General features: G+C 42.2%; 1 protein-coding gene and 1 long non-coding RNA gene across 2 annotated transcripts in view; one reads left to right on the plus strand and one right to left on the minus strand.

Moving 5' to 3' along the window:
* The window catches only part of CBX5 (chromobox 5), a 49,181-nt gene that overhangs the window by 29,752 nt on the left and 803 nt on the right, over positions 1-18,626 (minus strand). The gene's annotated exons all lie outside the window — the stretch shown is intronic.
* SCAT2 (S-phase cancer associated transcript 2) lies at positions 1,922-18,370 on the plus strand. Its single transcript, NR_157844.1, has 2 exons — positions 1,922-2,244; positions 17,959-18,370. It is a non-coding gene; the product is annotated as an S-phase cancer associated transcript 2 (long non-coding RNA).

Consider the following 18,626-nt stretch of genomic DNA (forward strand, 5'->3'; position numbering starts at 1 on the left):
ATGTCTCAATACTTGAGAAAAGGAGTACTAGGATAAATAAAAAAGATATATAGAGACTTGAAATACTGTAAGTTTTCCATTCTTCTGGCTCTAAAGAACATTTTAGAGAGCTCCAAAACTCTACTCTGCTTTATAGATGTGGGAACTTTAAAGCCAGAAGTGGCTGCCATAGGAGAGTAAGAAAAAGGGACAATCAAAAGCAAAGAACTCAGTTGAGCCAGGAACAGTGGCTCACACCTGTAATCCCAGCACTTTGGGAAGCCGAGGCAGGTGGATTACCTGAGGTCAGGAGTTCGAGACCAGCCTGACCAACATGGTGACGCCCCATCTCTACTAAAAATGCAAAAATTAGCCAGACATAGTAGCACTTGCCTGTAATCCCAGCTACTTGGGAGGCTAAGGCAGGAGAATCGCTTGAACCTGGGAGGCAGAGGTTGCAGTGAGCCGAGACTGCGCCACTGCACTCCAGCCTGAGCAACAAGAGCGAAACCGTCTCAAAAAAAAAAAAAAAAGAACTCAGTTGAGAAGAAGCACAATGGTGACTATTACGACTGTCAAACAGAAGAAACCATAGGGTGTAAGACCAAAGTAGAAATTTTTTTCTTTTTTCTTTTTTTTTTTTGAGACGGAGTCTCGCTCTGTCACCAGGCTAGAGTGCTGTGGCGCCATCTCGGCTTACTGCAACCTCCAACTCCCTGGTTCAAGGGATTCTCCTGCCTCAGCCTCCCAAGTAGCTGGGATTACAGGCATGTGCCACCACGCCCAGCTAATTTTTGTATTTTTAGCAGAGATGGGGTTTCATCATGTTGGCCAGGATGGTCTCGATTTCCTCATCTTGTGATCCGCCCACCTGGGCCTCCCAAAGTGCTGGGATTACAGGCATGAGACACTGCACCCGGCCAGAAATTTTTTAATTACAAAAGATTTCCTCAGATTTGAATGGACCATCAGCAAACCTCCAATTAAAAACGGCATTTTTCAACTCTTACCTTTTAACTTTTCATAATTAAGGGATATAAAAACAATAACAAACATTTAAATAGGATCCTGACTCTGATTAACTTGCCATGTGTTATCCTGAGTAAATAAATTTTCCATCTAACCCCGGCATCATTTAAACGGGCTAAATAAATCTGTACTACCTGCCCTACGTACCTCCGAGGGAAAAAGTGAGTTTATGTTGAAACCAAAGATCTATTAAGTCCCCCAAAAAGAACCTTCTGTAAAAATATGTCAGGGCTGAATACAACAGCAGAAGAAAATATGTGACCTTCCAAATTCCTAAGCTAGTAAACCATATCACATGCAGTAACTCCTGCAGCTCAACACATTAGTAGATAGCAAGAAAAAGAGGAACAGTGTCTTTGTTAACTAGGCACTGGAAAACGAATAAACCTTCAGAGAACAGGGTAGGTACGTTCTCTCTCAAGGGCAAAATACTTATTCCTTAAAACTCAGACAAACTTTAAAGATGGCAGAATGAAAAGACTAATAGTAACTCTGTGAAGGAATAAGGAACAGGAGAGAATGACAGCAATACTAACATTTTGGTGAAACCTTTCAGAGAAAGAAAAGTGAATTTAATGAGGAAAGAGACAAAAATATTCTGGTGTCCACCCCTCCCCACAAAACATCAGAAAATAAAGATTGAGTTCAATTCCCTCCTTTCCACCCTTAAGAACTGCCTAAAGGGCACATGGGCCGAGGTCCTTTTCTTTTTGGGAAATGGGTTTTGTAACCACTGACAAATCGAATTGGGCCTGATGCCAGGAGTCAGAGTACAACCATAATATTCTTTAAAGGATGGCATGCAATTGTCTTGTAAATCTCCTAGACAGTCACAGATCAGAAGCTGGCAAGGATGACGACATAGTTCTGATGGAATGTGTCTTATCTTAACCTTGAAGTTACAGATCTGCTCAGGAGCAGCAGTAAGAAATGAGAAATGCACTCAGACATCGGAGGGGACATAATTCTCTTTTAGACAGTGTGACCCGGAGTATTAGGGTCAAATGAAACACAAAGCCAGTCAAACAATTTAAGGGCTAGAGCCTAGACCAGATAAAGCATCAAGACTGGTGGTTCACACTGAGCTTAGGAGGAGGGAGCTTTCCAGCATGAGAAATGAGACATGGCTGGCAGGATGATGGAGTGATTAAGATAGAATCCCAATACCATGACAGAGGAAAAGAAGATGAGCCTCTGAACACAACCTTATCCTTGTGGAAATCTCCAAGGGAAAGGGTGAGTAGCTTCTCAAATTTCTGGAGTCTTTCAGGCATAACAGCTCTCAGCCTTCTCTCTTAAATATACATAGGAACTATCTGGTAAAGCTACCAATAACTATAGATTACAGCACCTAAGGCCCATTGAGATGAGAAAAGAGGCTGGGCGCGGTGGCTCACGCCTGTAATCCCAGCACTTTGGTAGGCCGAGGCGGGCAGATCTCCTGAGGTCAGGAGTTCCAGACCAACCTGGCCAACATGGTGAAACCCTGTCTCTACTAAAAATACAAAAATTAGCCAGGTGTGGTGGCAGGCACCTGTTATCTCAGCTACTTGGGAGGCTGAGGCAGGAGAATCACTTGAACCCAGAAGATGGAGGTTGCAGTGAGCCGAGATCAAGCCATTGCACTCCAGCCTGGACAACAAGGGCAAAACTCCGTCTCAAAAAAAAACCAAACAAAAAACTTATCAGTCCTCAGCAATTACAGAGAGGGCATCACAAGCAAGCTAGGGCAACCCAGAAAAACAAGAGGTAGGCCGGCACAGCGGCTCTCGCCTGTAATCCCAGCACTTTGGGAAGCCAAGGCAGGTGGATCATGAGGTCAGGAGTTTGAGACCAGCCTGGCCAACATGGTGAAACCCCGTCTCTACTAAAGACACAAAAAAATTAGTCAGGCGTGGTGTAATCCCAGCTACTCGGGAGGCTGAGGCAGTTACGCACCTGTAATCCCAGCTACTCAGGAGGGTGAGGCAGGAGAATCGCTTAAACGGGAGGCGGAGGTTGCAGTGAGCTGAGATCGCGCCACTGCACTCCAGCCTGGGCAACAGGGTAAGACTCTATCTCAAAAAAAAAAAAAAAAAAAAAGAAAAGAAAAAAGAAAAAAAAAGGCCAGGCGCAGTGGCTCACGAGGTCAGGAGATTGAGACCATCCTGGCTAACATGGTGAAACCCTGTCTCTACTAAAAATACAAAAAATTAGCCAGATGTGGTGGCGGGAGCCTGTAGTCCCAGCTACTGGGGAGGCTGAGGCAAAAGAATGGTGTGAACCCAGGAGGCGGGGCTTGCAGTGAGCCGAGATCGCACCACTGCACTCCAGCCTGGGAGACAGCGTGAGACTCCGTCTCAAATAAAAAAGAGGTAATGGTTAGCCCTCAGCATTGACCGTTTAATGCTGGAAGAACCCACATAGGGTCCCTGGTATCTGTCTGCTTTGTCCAGTTCAGGTTCTACTCTCATCCCTCCAGTCATTTCTTTTTTGAGACAGGGCCTCGTTCTGTTGTTCAGGCTGCAGTGCAGTGGTGCGGACAGTTTATTGCAGTCTCAAACTCCTGGGCTCAAGCAATCCTCTCACCTTGGCCTTCTGAGCAGCTGGGACCACAGGGGCACGCCACCATGCCTGGCTACATTTTTTTATTTTTTGGTGAGATGCAGTCTCACTGTGTTGCCCAAGCTGGTCTCAAACTTCTGGGCTGAAGCAATCCTCCTGCCTTACCCCCACAAAGCAGTCACTACTTCTCAATACCAATTCTGGTGGCTTTTCTTATCTTGTTATAGTCATTTCATTTTCATCACCACTTATGAGCAAAAGTACACATAATTCTAGATCTTTCACTAAGCTTTCTTCTTATTAAGAATGAAAGCCAGCCGGGCGCAGTGGCTCATGCCTGTAATCCCAGCACTTTGGGAGGCCAAGGTGGGTGGATCACCTGAGGTCGGGAGTTTGAGACCAGGCTGGCCAACATGGCGAAACCCCATCTCTACTAAAAATACAAAAATTAGCCAGGTGTGGTGGCAGGTGCCTGTAATCCCAGCTACTGGGGAGGCTGAGGTAGGAGAATCGCTTGAATCTGGGAGGTAGAGGTTGCAGTGAGCCAAGATTGCGCCACTGCACTCTAGCCTGGGAGACAAGAGTGAAACTCCATCTCAAAGAAAAAAAAAAAGAAAAAGAAAGCCAATTGGTAAGCTGCCTCACTGAACTACCCACTGAATTAAAGATGGTAATCAAACCAAATGTCAAGATGCATAATCAATGAGCTCTCCATTGTAGAGTTTCAACATAAATTCTATAAGCCCCCTAACTAAGCAAAATCCTTTAGGAAGTAAGCCAGGGTTAAAGAGCAGAGGAGAGCGCATATGCAAAGCTCCCTATCACATGGATTAATTAGATATGCCATTGATGAGTGGTTGCAGTTGGCCCAGACTTGCACGATTCCCACTTCTCCTTAAGGCCCTTAGGGAGAGAGTGGCTTAGGTGAAGATTAAATTGTCAGCTACAGCACTGTCTTCAAAGCATCCTCTATATAGCCTTATTGCAGCAAATAAAACAGATGAAAATAAACCAAACTTACAGAAACATTTTAATCTGCTCTATGTTCCTTGCTCTTTATGGAGCTTGAAGTACTGATGGTTTTAGGTGTGTAACACAAACAGCATAAAACTAAAATATCCCCTATAAAGATGTTTTCTTGCAGTGGATTTATGATTTCCAAAGTATTAGCCATGTGGCATTTTAACAAAAACACAGCATAGAGATGCACATTACAGCTGTCCTGGCTGTCTCAGGTTTTGTTAAATGGGCTGATAACTATCACTCCACCTCCACCAAAAGCCCATGAGCACACAATTCAAGAGGAGTTAAAAGCTTTTTAAATGTCTGTTTAAGAGACTAGATTAGGAAAGAGTTGAAGAGAAAGATTAACTATGGTCGTTAACACCCCTATCATTAACGAGCCACATATAGACAACACAAACTTTATTAAAAGAAGAGAGCATGGAGGCAAGAAATGTTCTCCCATTGGCTAGCACAGCTCTAGTTCATGATCCTTTAAAAATCAGGCCAAGAGGCTGGGCACAACGGCTCACGGCTGTAATCCCAGCACTTTGGGAGGCTGAGGCAGGCAGATCGATCACTTGACGTCAGGAGTTCAAGACCAGCGTGGCCAACATGGTGAAACCCCATCTTTACTAAAAATACAAAAATTAGCCAGGTAAGGCGGTGCACGTCTATAATCCCAGCTACTCAGGAGGCTTAGGCAGGAGAAGCGCTTGAACCTGGGAGGTGGAGGTTGCAGTGAGCGGAGATGGTGCCACTGCACTCCAGCCTGGGCAACAGAGGCAGACTCTGTCTTAAAAAAAAAAAAAACCAGGCGAAACCTCCTACTACAGTGAGCAAGGGAGTAAAGGGCCTTTTGTTCTTTTAGATAAAAACGGCTGCGTGCGGTGGCTCACCCTGTAATCCCAGCACTTTGAGAGGCAGATCACCTGAGGTTAGGAGTTCAAGACCAGCCTGGCCAACATGGCGAAACCACGTCTCTACTAAAAATACAAAAATTAGCCAGGCATGGTGGTGGGCATCTGAAATCCCAGCTACTCAGGAGGCTGAGGCAGGAGAATTGCTGGAACCTGGGAAGTAGAGGTTGCAGTGAGCTGAGATGGCACCACTGCACTCCAGCCTGGGCGACAGAGCGAGACTTCATCTCAAAAAAAATAAAAAATAAAAAAATAAATATAAAAACATATACTTGGCTGGGTGCCATGGCTTACACCTATAATCCCAACAATTTGGGAGGTTGAGGCAGGAGGACAGCTTAGGCCCAGAGTTCAAGACCAGCATGAACAAACATAGTGAGACCTCCGCAATATTTAAAATAATAATTGTATATATACACATTCTAAATGACGATAAAGGCTGCCCTATAAATTCCATTTGGTTGTATGTCCCCCAGGCTCTGATTACCAATATATTACAAATGAATGTGGGCTACAAGACTCAATTTTCAGAACTGCTTGAAGGTATCAGTCTGGTAAACTGGTGTATTTAGCAATAACACAAAAATTCTTGCTTGATATCTCATCATTTTATATTGGATTTTTTTTCACCCTCTTATTAAAATCCACTCAATTTCTTCTCTCAACTATCAGTTTTCAGAAACACGCATTCTATTTTATAGAATAAGATGTTGCCCTATTAAAAAAAAGTATCAGTTTTCTTTAAATTTAGTTAGGGTACACCTAAACCCACCACTGGGCAAGAGGTTAAATATCCAATTGTTTCAAGATTTATGAGAAAGCAGAATTTGGCACCACCATGGGAAAATGCCTTCCAGATGGTGTTTTCCAACAACTTTATCCTTGGAAATGTACTGAACTCATCTTAAGGCACCACATTCTCAGGTGGGTGTTAATCTCACATCCACTCCTCTTAAGTGTAATGAAACATGAATTTGGAGACCTCGTCACCTTTCACAAAGAACCTGGCAATTTCATCATAAGTAAATCTTGAGAAAAATGGGTAACAGCAACATTTGAGTAGATTGTCATGAATCTTAGATTTATACATACCACTTTGGCAGATCATGTTCACAAAATATGGAAGGATTAAAAGAATACTGAAAACACTTGTCCCCAAATAAAATTATGGTCATAAAGCATTTTCCAAACGTCAGCCATAAAATTAAGACTCAGTCTTTACCATGGCATCATCTAGCTTGCACATTTTAGACATCAGTAGCTTAAGGGTTACAAAGGCTCCTTCAGGTCATTTCAACAAATCATCCATTTTAACGAAGAGCCTGTGTTAAGTCAGGCAATTTTTCTCTTTTTTTTTTTTTTGAGACGGAGTCTAGCTCTGTCGCCCAGGCTGGAGTGCAGTGGCACAATCTCGGCTCACTGCAAGCTCCATGTTCCGGGTTCATGCCATTCTCCTGCCTCAGCCTCCCGAGTAGCTGGAACTACAGGCGCCCGCCACCACGCCCGGCTAATTTTTTTTGTGTATTTTTAGTAGAGACGGGGTTTCACCGTGTTAGCCAGGATGGTCTTGATCTCCTGACCTCGTGTTGTGATCCACTCACCCCGGCCTCCCAAAGTGCTGGGATTACAGGCGTGAGCCACAGCACACAGCTGACAATTTATGTTTTCTTAGCATCAGTTTAAAGAAGACATCTGGCTGGGCATGGTGGTTCACGCCTATAATCCCAGCATTTTGGGAGGTGGAGGCAGGCGGATCACTTGAAGCCAGGAATTCGAGACCAGCCTGGCCAACATGGCGAAACCCCATCTCTACCAAAAATACAAACATTAGTCAGGCGTGGTGGTGGGCGCCTGTAATCCCAGTTACTCAGGAGGCTGAGGCAGGAGAATCGCTTGAACCCGGGAGACGGAGGTTACAGTGAACCAAGATTGCGCCATTGCACTCCAGCCTGGGCGACAGAGCGAGACTTCATCTCAAACAAACAACAACAAAAATACAAGGGTATCCTTGGCAGCTCCTGGGCCATGTATTATGATCCTGACCAATTTCTCTCTGTGGGAATTTAAAAGCTGTAAAAAAAATACATAATGGGTGATGACAGGAGAAACAAACCCACACCAGAAGTTATCGAACCTTGCAGGTCTTTTCAAGTGTCTCTATTGACATTTAAGTTGAGTTACTATGCCACAATATCATAAAAGTGTGCTCTAAACTTCAGCTATATTGACAGTTAAATGCAAAGAAAGGCATCAGATAAATGCTAAAGGGATGGGCAATCTCAGACCACCCAGCTCTTCAAGTGAGTGTTTTGATGTGTTACATGAGATTTTTCTGACTCCCTTTTTGTCCAATTTCCAACTACATTCCCAATTCAAATCCTATGCCAAAGATATGATTAATATAGTAATTCTGATCCTTGCTCTAAAATTGGTTGATTATGAGATATTTATTGAGGGCCTAAAAAGTGTCAAGCATTGCATGAGCACAGTCTATTCCAGTTTCCAATTTTAAGGCGAGGATTTTTGAAGTTTCTCCTTGGTCAAGTTAGCAACTTCTCCAAAGGTTGTTATAGAAAAGGTAAAAGGTAACTTGTCAATAGTGGAAAGATCAGGACAGGAATAAGTACATGTGGGTCCTAACCCAACTAGATCATTAAAAGGTCAAATTGGACAACTTCATTGACTCTCATGGGTGTTAGTTATTAGCCCTACTTAAACATCTGTTGTGGGAAAAACAAGAAAATACTTGAAAAATATAAAGCAAATAGAAGTTAAATGTCTGATAGTAGATGAAGTTAAAAATAACTGTTTTGGGCCAGGCACGGTGGCTCACGCCTATAATCCCAGCACTTTGGGAGGCTGAGGTGGGCGCATCACGAGGTCAGGAGAGAGACCATCCCAGCTAACACGGTGAAAGCCTGTCTCTACTAAAACTACAAAACAGCAGCCAGGCGTGGTGGCACGTGCCTGTAGTCCCAGCTACTCAGGAGGCTGAGGCAGGAGAATCGCTTGAACCCCCCAGGAGGCGGAGGTTGCAGTGAGTCGAGATTGCACAACTACACTCCAGCCAGGGTGACAGAGCGAGGATCCTTCTCAAAATAAATAAATAAATAACTGTTTTAAGCGTTCCTGCTTCTGTTTTCTGGAAGAGTTTGTTGTATAAAATTGGTATTTCTTCCTAAAAGGTTTGGTAAAATTCTTCAGTGAAGCCATCTGGGCTCAGAGTTTTCTTTTTCTTTTGAGACAGAGATTGCTCTGTTGCCCAGGCTGGAGTGCGGTGGTGCAATCTCAGCTCACTGCACCCTCCGCCTCTGAGGTTCAAGCGATTCTCCTGCCTCAGCCTCCCGAGTAGCTGGGACTACAGGAGCACACCACCATGCCTGGCTCATTTTTGTATTTTTAGTAGAGACGGGGCTTCACCATGCTAGCCAGGCTGGTCTTGAACTCCTGACCTCGTGATCCACCCACCTCAGCCTCCCAAAGTGCTGGGATTACAGGCATGAGCCATCATGCTTGGCCTGGGCCTGGCGTTTTCTTTGTGGGATTATTTCTATCTAAAAATCCCTTTTCCTTAATAGAGATAGGGCTAGTAAGGTTCTGACGTTTTCTTCTTTTTGCCTGTAGAGAGGTCTCATTATGTTTCCTGGGCTGGTCTTGAACTCTTGGCCTCCCAAAATGTTGAGATTACATGTGTAAGCCTCCATGCCCACCCAAGGTTCTGTATTTAAGTGAGTTTTGGTAGTTTGTCTTCAAGGAAGTTACTAACTTCAACTAAGACATTGAATGTATTCGTATCGTTTTTCAAAATATTCCCTTATTATCTGTAGGATCAATAGTGATATTCCTTAGTTCCTAATATTGTTAATTAGTATCTTTTTTCCTGATTTATCAATTTTATTGATCTTTTCAAAGAACTTTCCGTTTTTTTCTATTCTCTATTGTTCTATATCCCATTAATTGCTGCTTTTATCATTACTATTTTCTTGTTTATTTTGGATTTAATTTGTTCTTTTTCTAGGTTCACAGGGCCAAACCTGTCAGTGACCTGCTTTTGTTGTTAAAGTACTTAATGCTATAAATTTCCCTTTAAGCACTTCCTTAACTGCATCCCACAATTTTGTTTTGTTTTTGAGATAGGGTCTCTGCCACCCAGGCTCAAGTGCAGTGGCAGGATCATAGCTCACTGCAGCCTTGATCTCCCAGGCTCCAGTAAGCATCCCACCTCAGCCTCCCAACTAGCTGGGACTACTGGCAAACCACCACTCCTGGATACTTTTTAATTTTTTCTAGAGACTAGGTCTCACTATGTTGCCCAGGCTGGTCTTGAACTCCTGAGCTCAAGTGATCCTCTCGCCTCAGCTTCTCAAAGCGTTGAGTTTACAGGAATCAGTCACAGCACCTAGCCTCATTCTAAAAGTTTTGATATATCATCTTTTCATTTTCATTCAGTTCCAAGTATTAGTTTTCTTTGTAATTTCCTCTTTGTAGGTGGGTTACTTAGAAGTGTGTTGTGTAATTTCAAAATATTTAGGGATTTTTCTTGATGTCTTTGTTACTGATTTTTTATTTAATTGCACTATGATCAGGAAATAAACATACCTTGGCCAAGCACAGTGGCTCATGCCTGTAATCCCAGCACTTTGGGAAGCTGAGATGAGAGGATCACTTGAGCCCAGGGGTCTGACACCAATCCGGGCAACATAACGAGACCCTGTCTCTACAAAAAAAGAAAAAAGGGTGGGTGGCTGAGCATGGTGGCACATGCCAGTGGTCCCAGCTTTTCAGAAGGCTGAGGCAGGAGGATCACTTGAGCCCAGGAGTTTCAGGCTGCAGTGAGTTGATTGTGTCACTGCACTCCAGCTTGGGTGACAGAACAAGACCCCGTTTAAATTTTTTTAAAAAACCTTTATGATTGAATCCTTTTGAATTTGAGACTTATTGACCCAGAAGGTAAACTGTCTGTGTAAAAGTTCCATGTGCACCTGAAAAGCACATGTATTCTGCTGTTGCTTGTACTATTCTATAAATGTCAATTATATCAGGTTGTTGGTAGTGTTGTTCAAGTCTTCCGTTTCCTTACTGATTTCATCTACCTGTTTTATCAATTACTGAGAGGCACTGAAATTTCCAAATATAATTGCAGATGTCTGTTATTTCCTTTTTCTTTTCTTTTTTTGAGACGGAGTCTTGCTCTGTCACCCAGGCTGGAGTGCAGTGGCGCGATCTCCGCTCACTGCAACCTCCACCTCCCAGGTTCAAGCGATTCTCCTGCCTCAGCCTCCCAAGTAGCTGGGATTACAGGCGCACGCCACCATGCCCAGATAATTTTTGTATTTTTAGTAGACAGGGTTTCACCATGTTGGCCAGGCTGATCTGGAACTCCTGACCTCAGGTAATCCACCCACCTCAGCCTCCCAAAGTGCTGGGATTACAGGCGTGAGCCACTGCACCTGGCTTGTTACTTCATTTCTGTTTTCCTTTGTGTATGTTGAAGCTTTATTATTAGCTTTTAGGACATTTAGGATTGTTATGTCCGCTTGATGAATTTATTCATTTATTATATAACCTGGTGTTTGTTATTTGCCCTATCTCATAAGTCTATTATGGAAAAACAATAGGAAAATACTTTGGAAAATATATAGGAAACAGAAGGAAAAATGTTTAATAATCAAGGAAGTTAAAAAAATTTTAATGAATTTTCTTTATTATCTGTAAGTCTTATCCATGCTTGTCTCTACTTACATAAATGAGGTTTGCTATGTTTTATCAGATCTTAGGCATAATTTATTGTTGTGAAACACTGAACAAATTAGCAGTATATTACCCTCCACAACTCCCTGTGAGGTGAGTTGCACAGATTTAGGGATGAGAAACGAGGCACAGAGAGTTCAAGGATTTGTCTTAAAAACAAAACTTAAGATTTCCCAGCCTGTTAGTTGACCTCTTTAGTACAGGGCATTTTATTCCGACATAATTATATTTTATTCTGACATAATTATGCCCTCTGGCTCAGATATGAACTTGCTTTATTCTAAGAAACATAGATTACTATCAGAAAAATACTTGAATCCAATTTGGTTTCTCCTCTCCACAGAAGAAATAAATAATGAGTGTGTTATAAAACCTGATCTTGAAACGGTCCTTTCAAGTACACCATCTCAAGCTCATGGCTTTATCTAGTGTCCTTCCTAGCAATGAAACAGGATGGAACAGGCATTCAGTGAGTCTGAAGAGTAAGACTGCAAGTGAAAATTTTTACTCTATGACCTAGTTTCAGGTAGAAAAAAATCTGTCAGTGTTTAATTTTGATGAACTACTACTACTGGAAAGAAAATTCAGGCTACACAGTCTATAGTCTCACTAAAAATGTAGTGAAAATGTTCCAGCTAGTCTATTACATCCCTTGTAGAAAATCTTTTCTTCAGAAAGGTTTAAGCACACAGCTAACAAATACAGGTTAGTTATCCTGTGTTAATACCCCAAGGAGTTGACAGTCAGCCAACAGCTCAGTCTTCCATCCTTCAAGTCCTAGGCAAGAACAGGACTACCCTCACCCAAAATGTTGTAATTTGTAATGTTTTGATTCACATTTTAAATTATTGACTTAAAAAACAAACTCCAAGATGACTTAGGAATCACTTCATAAAGTCTTAGGTCTAGAAGGCTTGTTAACGATCACTTATCCAACTCCTTCCCTATAAGATAAAGAAACTAAGGACTAAAGAGGGCAAATGGCTCACCCATGGTTACACCATTAGATAATGGCAGAGGCAGGACAAGAACCCAGGTTTCTGAGCCTTTTTTCACTTGCCTCTGTTTCTTTAAAAATAACATTTTCTTTTCTGAATTAGCTCAAATCTATTTGGGTAGAGGTTAGGGAACCAATGTGTAGTGGTCTGAATGATGGCCCTCCCCCAAAGAGATTCTTATCTTAATCCCTTGAACCTGTAAATGTTATTTTATATAGCAAAAGATGTGATTAAAAGATGAATCCGGCCGGGCGCGGTGACTTATGCCTGTAATCCCAGCACTTTGGGAGGCTGAGGCAGGCGGATCACCTGATGTCAAGGGTTCTAGACCAGCCTGGCAAACTGGTGAAATCCTGTCTCTATCAAAAATACATAAATTAGCCGGGCACGGTGGCAGGCACCTGTAATCCCAGCTACTCAGGAGGCTGAGGCAGGAGAATAGCTTGAACCTGGGAGGCGGAGGTTGCAGTGAGCCAAAATCACACCAATGCACTCCAGACTGGGTGACAAAGCGAGACTCTGTCTCAAAATAAACATGAATCTACATTTTTTTTTCAGGGACCTGCCACTTTAGGAATAAAATATATTTTAAATCTGCTCTCTCAGGTTGAATTAAAAGATAGGATTGGAGAAATTTATCCTGGTTCATCCAAGTGGTTTCTTAATTGCAATCATATGTATCCTTATAATACACAGGTAGAGGGAGAGTTCTGATGCAAGTACTCAAAAGAGAAGACAATGTGAAAACAGAACAGAGAGATATGCCAAGGAATGCTGACCATAATCAGAAGCTAAAAGAGGCAAAGAACAGTCTCTCTCCTAGAGCCTCCAGAGGGGCCTCAATATCTTGATTGCAGACTTCTGGGCTCCAAAATTTTGAGAAGAATAAATTCCTCTTGTTTTAAACCACCAAGTCTGTGGTAATTTGTTATAGCAGCCACAGGAAACTAATACATAGGGGGAATAAAATTTTAAACATCATAAAGTGGACATATATAAAACATTACTGATCCAAAAAGAATTGTGTTTCAGATAACCCAAAGAATGTCTAAAACCTTTAATCCCTCATTTCAAAGGGTAAATTGAGGCTACTGCAGGATACAATTTGCCCCAAAGAAATTGGCAGATCTGAGAAGAGAAACTCAGAAAGATCTAATATTTACATAGCTGCTAACAAGAACAGTGTAGGTTTTTCTGCAAACATGCTAGTTGGTAGAGCTCCTGGACAGACTAAACATAGGCAGCAGTTGTCACAGTGGGTGTTCTTCCAGCACAAGTGTAAAGCTGTCATCAGAAATGAATATGTGGCTTCGAGTGGCTTACAGAAATCCAACAAATCTGCATCTTGGACTCTGGACAAGCGAACTCTTCTCAGGATGACCTGGACTCCTTCCTATTAGTACAATGATCAGTTAAAATCATTCTCTATAAGCAAGGAAGAAAAATAAAAGTTTATATCAGGAGAAAAAGATGATTGCCCAGAGTCCGAGTTCACGAATAGCAGATATGTAAACAGCCATACTAAGTCAAGTGGTATCTCATGTTGTAATTTATTACTTTTAAAATCAATATCCATAACACAGCTTTAGGCCCAGTTTCATGTAAGATGAATGGAAATAAAAATAATCTAAGTAAAAGGACAAAATAAAGACTAGAAATGCTTTACCAGGACAGTTATTAATTAAATGGGCTATACCAATAAGATATGGAAATCATGCTATGTGGTTAAAGACCTCAATAGAGCCGGGCACAGTGGCTCATGCCTGTAATTCTAACACTTTGGGAGGCCGAGGCGGTTGGATCATGAGGTCAGTAGATTGAGACCATCCTGGCTAACACGGTGAAATCCTGTCTCTACTAAAAATACAAAAAAATTAGCCAGGCATGGTGGCACGTGCCTGTAGTCCCAGCTACTCGGGAGGCTGAGGCAGGAGGATCGCTTGAATCCGGGAGGCAGAGGTTGCAGTGAGCCGAGATCACGCCACTGCACTCTAGCCTGGGTGACAGAGCGCGACTCTGTCTCAAAAACAAACAAATCTCAATAGAAACAAAAAGCGACTTAGTCTTCCTCAAAAATCTTTGTACCCTGATACCAAACCTTTCTCTTTTCTAGAGTATTGTTAAGGGCTCTGAGAATCTCCAGAATTTCCCTAGCCATATACAAATCCAGCCGCTTCAAATGTAGGCTCACTCTTTCTTTCCCCAACTATCATCCTGCTCACCTACTACCCAAATTGAAGCTTTCCACTTACTAGTTTTCAGACAGAATATATTCCCCTTTAGTAAACACCCCTTTTAGATTTGGTTGCAATAGTAGGTATGTCTCTAAGTTTTTTTTTCTTTTTTGAGACAGTCTCGCTCTGTCACCCAGGCTGGAGTACAGTGGTGCAATCTCGGCTCACTGTAACCTCCGCCTCCCAGGCTCAGCAATTCTCCTGCCTCAGCCTCCAGAGTAGCTGGGGCTACAGGCGTGTGCCACCACGCCCGGCTAATTTTTTGTATTTTTAGCGGAGATGGGGTTTCACCGTGTTAGCCAGGATGGTCTCAATCTCCTGAACTCATGATCTGCCCGCCTCGGCCTCCCAAAGTGCTGGGATTACAGGCATAAGCCACTGCGCCCAGGCAGTATGTCTCTAAGTTCTAAGCACAAGCGTTATAACTTCTGTAATTAGAGGCCCAACACGTATCACATTGGAAGTTAGGATTTCTAACTCTGTGATAGTACCAGAATTTCAATGAAAAATTACCCACTAAAATTTCACCACCAGAGAGAAAAGTTCATCATATCTATTAACTACCACATTGGAGGCTGGGCACAGTGGCTCACACCTGTAATCCCAGCACTTTGGGAGGCCAAGGCAGGCAGATCACCTAAGGTCAGGAGTTTGAGGCCAGCCTAACCAACATGGAGAAACCCCGTCTCTACTAAAAATTAGCCGGACGTATGCCTGTAATCCCAGCTACTCAGGAGGCTGGAGCAGGAGAATTGCTTGAACCTGGGAGGCGGAGGTTGAGGTGAGTCAAGATCGTGCCACCGCACTCCAGACTGGGCAACAAGAGCGAGACTCCATTCCAAAAAAAAAAAAAAAAAAAACCTATCACATTGGGAGACATTTTGCAATATTTTTATTGTTTTCCCTCTTTAAGCATTGTGAGACTTCACAATAAAACAAGCAGTTTTCACTTGCACACGACAGTAAACTAGAAAGTCTCGGTTTGGCTCCTATAATCTTTCAAAGTAAAACACATGAGTAAAAACACCAAATAATGGGTCACTGCTTAATCTGTTTACATAGATACTCCTTGATGGGGTTATGTCCTGATAAACCCATCATAGGTTGAAAATATGAAAAATTGAAAATTCATTTCCTACACCTAATCTACTGAACATCATAGCTTAGCCTAGCCTACCTTAAATGTGTTCAGAATACTTACATTAGCCTACTGTTGGACAAAATCACCTAACACAAAGCCTGTTTTATAATAAAGTGTTGAATATCTCATGTAATTGGTTGATTACTGTACCGAAAGTGAAAAACAGAATGGTTATGTGGATACTTGAAATATGGTTTCTACTGAATGCAAATTGCTTTCCACACCGTTGTAAAGGTGAAAAATCTTAAGTCGAAATATCACAAGCAAGGGACCATCTGTACAAGTGGCTGGGGCTGGAGATGGAAGGAACTGACTCAGAAAGCAATCAAAGTTGGCATGATTTGGTGACCTATTCTTCAGATCAGCAGTCTTTTTCCCCCAAAACCCTGGGTCTATAAACAGCTGTGAAATCAGTTCAATGGAAATTGACTGCTTTCTTAAGACAATGAAATAGTATACTGCAGACAAAAGAATATCAGAGTACTCTGCACGTTTAGTGAAATGTTTCAATGTGTGTACAGGATTAGTGTAAAATATATTTCTTATTGCGGTCAAAAAAGTTTTGAGACGTGGATCCAAAAGAATCCCAGGAAAAGAAAGAGGCTAGCTAGAATCAAGTGAAAAAGAAGGATGTGAGGCAAAGTCTACCTTCTTCAAAAACATATTTGCCATTATTTTAGGAAGCCAAACAAGGACAAGATGCAATCAATCGTATGTGTAAGTTTAAGCAGCAAAAAGTGGTAAAAACTTTTTTTTTCTGAGACAAGGTCTCACTCTGTCGCCCAGACTGGGGTGCAGTGGCATCATCTCGGCTCACTGCAAACTCTGCCTCCCAGGTTCAAGCGATTATCCCGTCTCAGCCTCCTGAGTAGCTGGGATTACAGGCGCCCACCACCATGACTGGCTAATTATTGTGGGTTTTTTTGTTTTGAGACGGACTCTTGCTTTGTCGCCCAGGCTGGAGTGCAGTGGCGCAATCTCGGCTCACTGCAACCTCTGCTTCCTGGGTTCAAGCAATTCTCCTGACTCCGCCTCCCGAGTAGCTGGAATTACAGGCACCCGCCACCACACCTGGCTAATTTTTTGTGTTTTTAGTAGAGACGGGGTTTCACGATGTTGGCCAGGCCGGTCTCAAACTCCTGACCTGAAGTGATCCACCCGCCTCGGCCTCCCAAAGTGCTGGGATTACAGACATGAGCCACCACGCTCAGCCCAATTTTTGTTTTTAGTAGAGACGGGTTTCACCTTGTTGGCCAGGCTGGTCTGAAACTCCTGGCCTCAAGTGATCCGCCCACCTTGGCCTCCCAAAGTGCTGGGATTACAGACATGAGCCACCGGCGCCAGACCAAGTGGTAAAAATTTTAATAAAAATTTCCTTTTATTAAATGGAACAATGATCAATTCTGTATCTAAGGAGATAACATCAGGATTTAGTGATCCATTTACCAAAGGCCACTCCCTAAACATTTCAACCATCTTCTCACCTTTACCTATTTTCCAATTGGTAAAATAATGGATTTTGAAAAAATAATAAACTCTAGTGTTCTATTTTTATTTTTTTAGCAATGGGATCTTGTTGTGCTGCCCAGACTGGAGTGCAGTGGCTATGCACAGGCATAATCATCTCACACTGCACCCTTGACCTCCTGAACTCAAGCCTCCTACCTCAGCCTCAGCTTCCAGAGTAGCTGGGACTACAGGAACACGAAACTGTGCCCTGCATACTCCAGTATTTTAAATGAATGGTTTTCAACCAAGGGAGATTTTATCCCCCATCCCTACCTCCCCGGACATTTGGCAATGTCTGGAAACAATCTGTCACAAATGGGGATGTGGCGAGTGATGCGATGTTACTGGCATACAGTGGGTAGAGGCCAGGAATGTTGCTAAATATTTTACTATGCACAGGACACTCCGAGCACCCTCAACAAAGAATTATCTGCCTCAAAATACCAACAGTGCTAATGCTGAGAAACCTTGCTGTAGGTCAAGACTGTATTCCTTCCAAACCTAAATAAATCCAGGACAGATACCCTTAACCAGTATCACTTTAGTTCTCAGAAGCTCAGCAACTCCATTACTAGCATACCTACAAATAGGTTTACAGCCAGGTATAAATTATAGGTTTGTCCTTTTGCTAGTGCCAGAGAACATGGAAATCTCTCCTCTGTTCATAAACTGCTATTAAAATCGTCTGTCTTTGGTATAAAGTCGGAAAGGTCTCTAATTATAAGTGTATTTCATAGGTAGTTGATTTTCAGTATTTAAATATTTTCCCTTGATCCTGAATAAATTATTGAATAAAGCAGTAAGACTCTGATACAGCCAATGTTATCAAAATTTATTTATTTCTCCAAAAGATCCTGGAATAAGCAGAGTGGGCATTACCAAAAGGAGATAGACTGCATGTAAAACACACTTCGAAGGAAATCTAATTAAAAGGCAAGGAATAATCCAGGTGATGGATGAATCTTCTGTCCCCAGAACCCTAAATATTACCCTCTTTGTTTCTTTTTTATTCCAAAGTCAGATATCCTCAAAGGAACAGCAAAAAGAGGGACTTTAGGATATCTTCAATGGTGTAAAGAAAAGAAATATATGAAAGTTCCCGGGAGAAAGAGACTAAAATAAAAGCACTGGGCACATGGATTACATAAAACAGAAAAGGGGTTGTAAGTATGTGATTATGACTAGAAACACAAAACAATCGACTTCATTTTTTATTTAATTTTAATCACAAATTATTAACCTTGCAAAGTTTTAAACATTAAAGATCTAATCTGCCTCGATCCTACTGTGTCCCTAGGATTGACACTTTGGTGTGTAGCTTTCCAAAACTTTTCTGTGGACCTACAAACATATTTGTCAGTAGAAATATGCACTATCAGGAAGGAGATATTTCTTGAACGCCTTTCCATGACAGTACATAGAGATTTCTCCCATTCGTTCTAACATTTTAACAGTCTTCCTAAAGAAGCGACTTCTGAAAGTATTATTTAAAAACAAACAAACAAAAAAAAACAACTCC

This window comes from Homo sapiens, chromosome 12, assembly GCF_000001405.40.
Source record: "Homo sapiens chromosome 12, GRCh38.p14 Primary Assembly".
NCBI classification, from domain to species: Eukaryota; Metazoa; Chordata; class Mammalia; order Primates; family Hominidae; genus Homo; species Homo sapiens.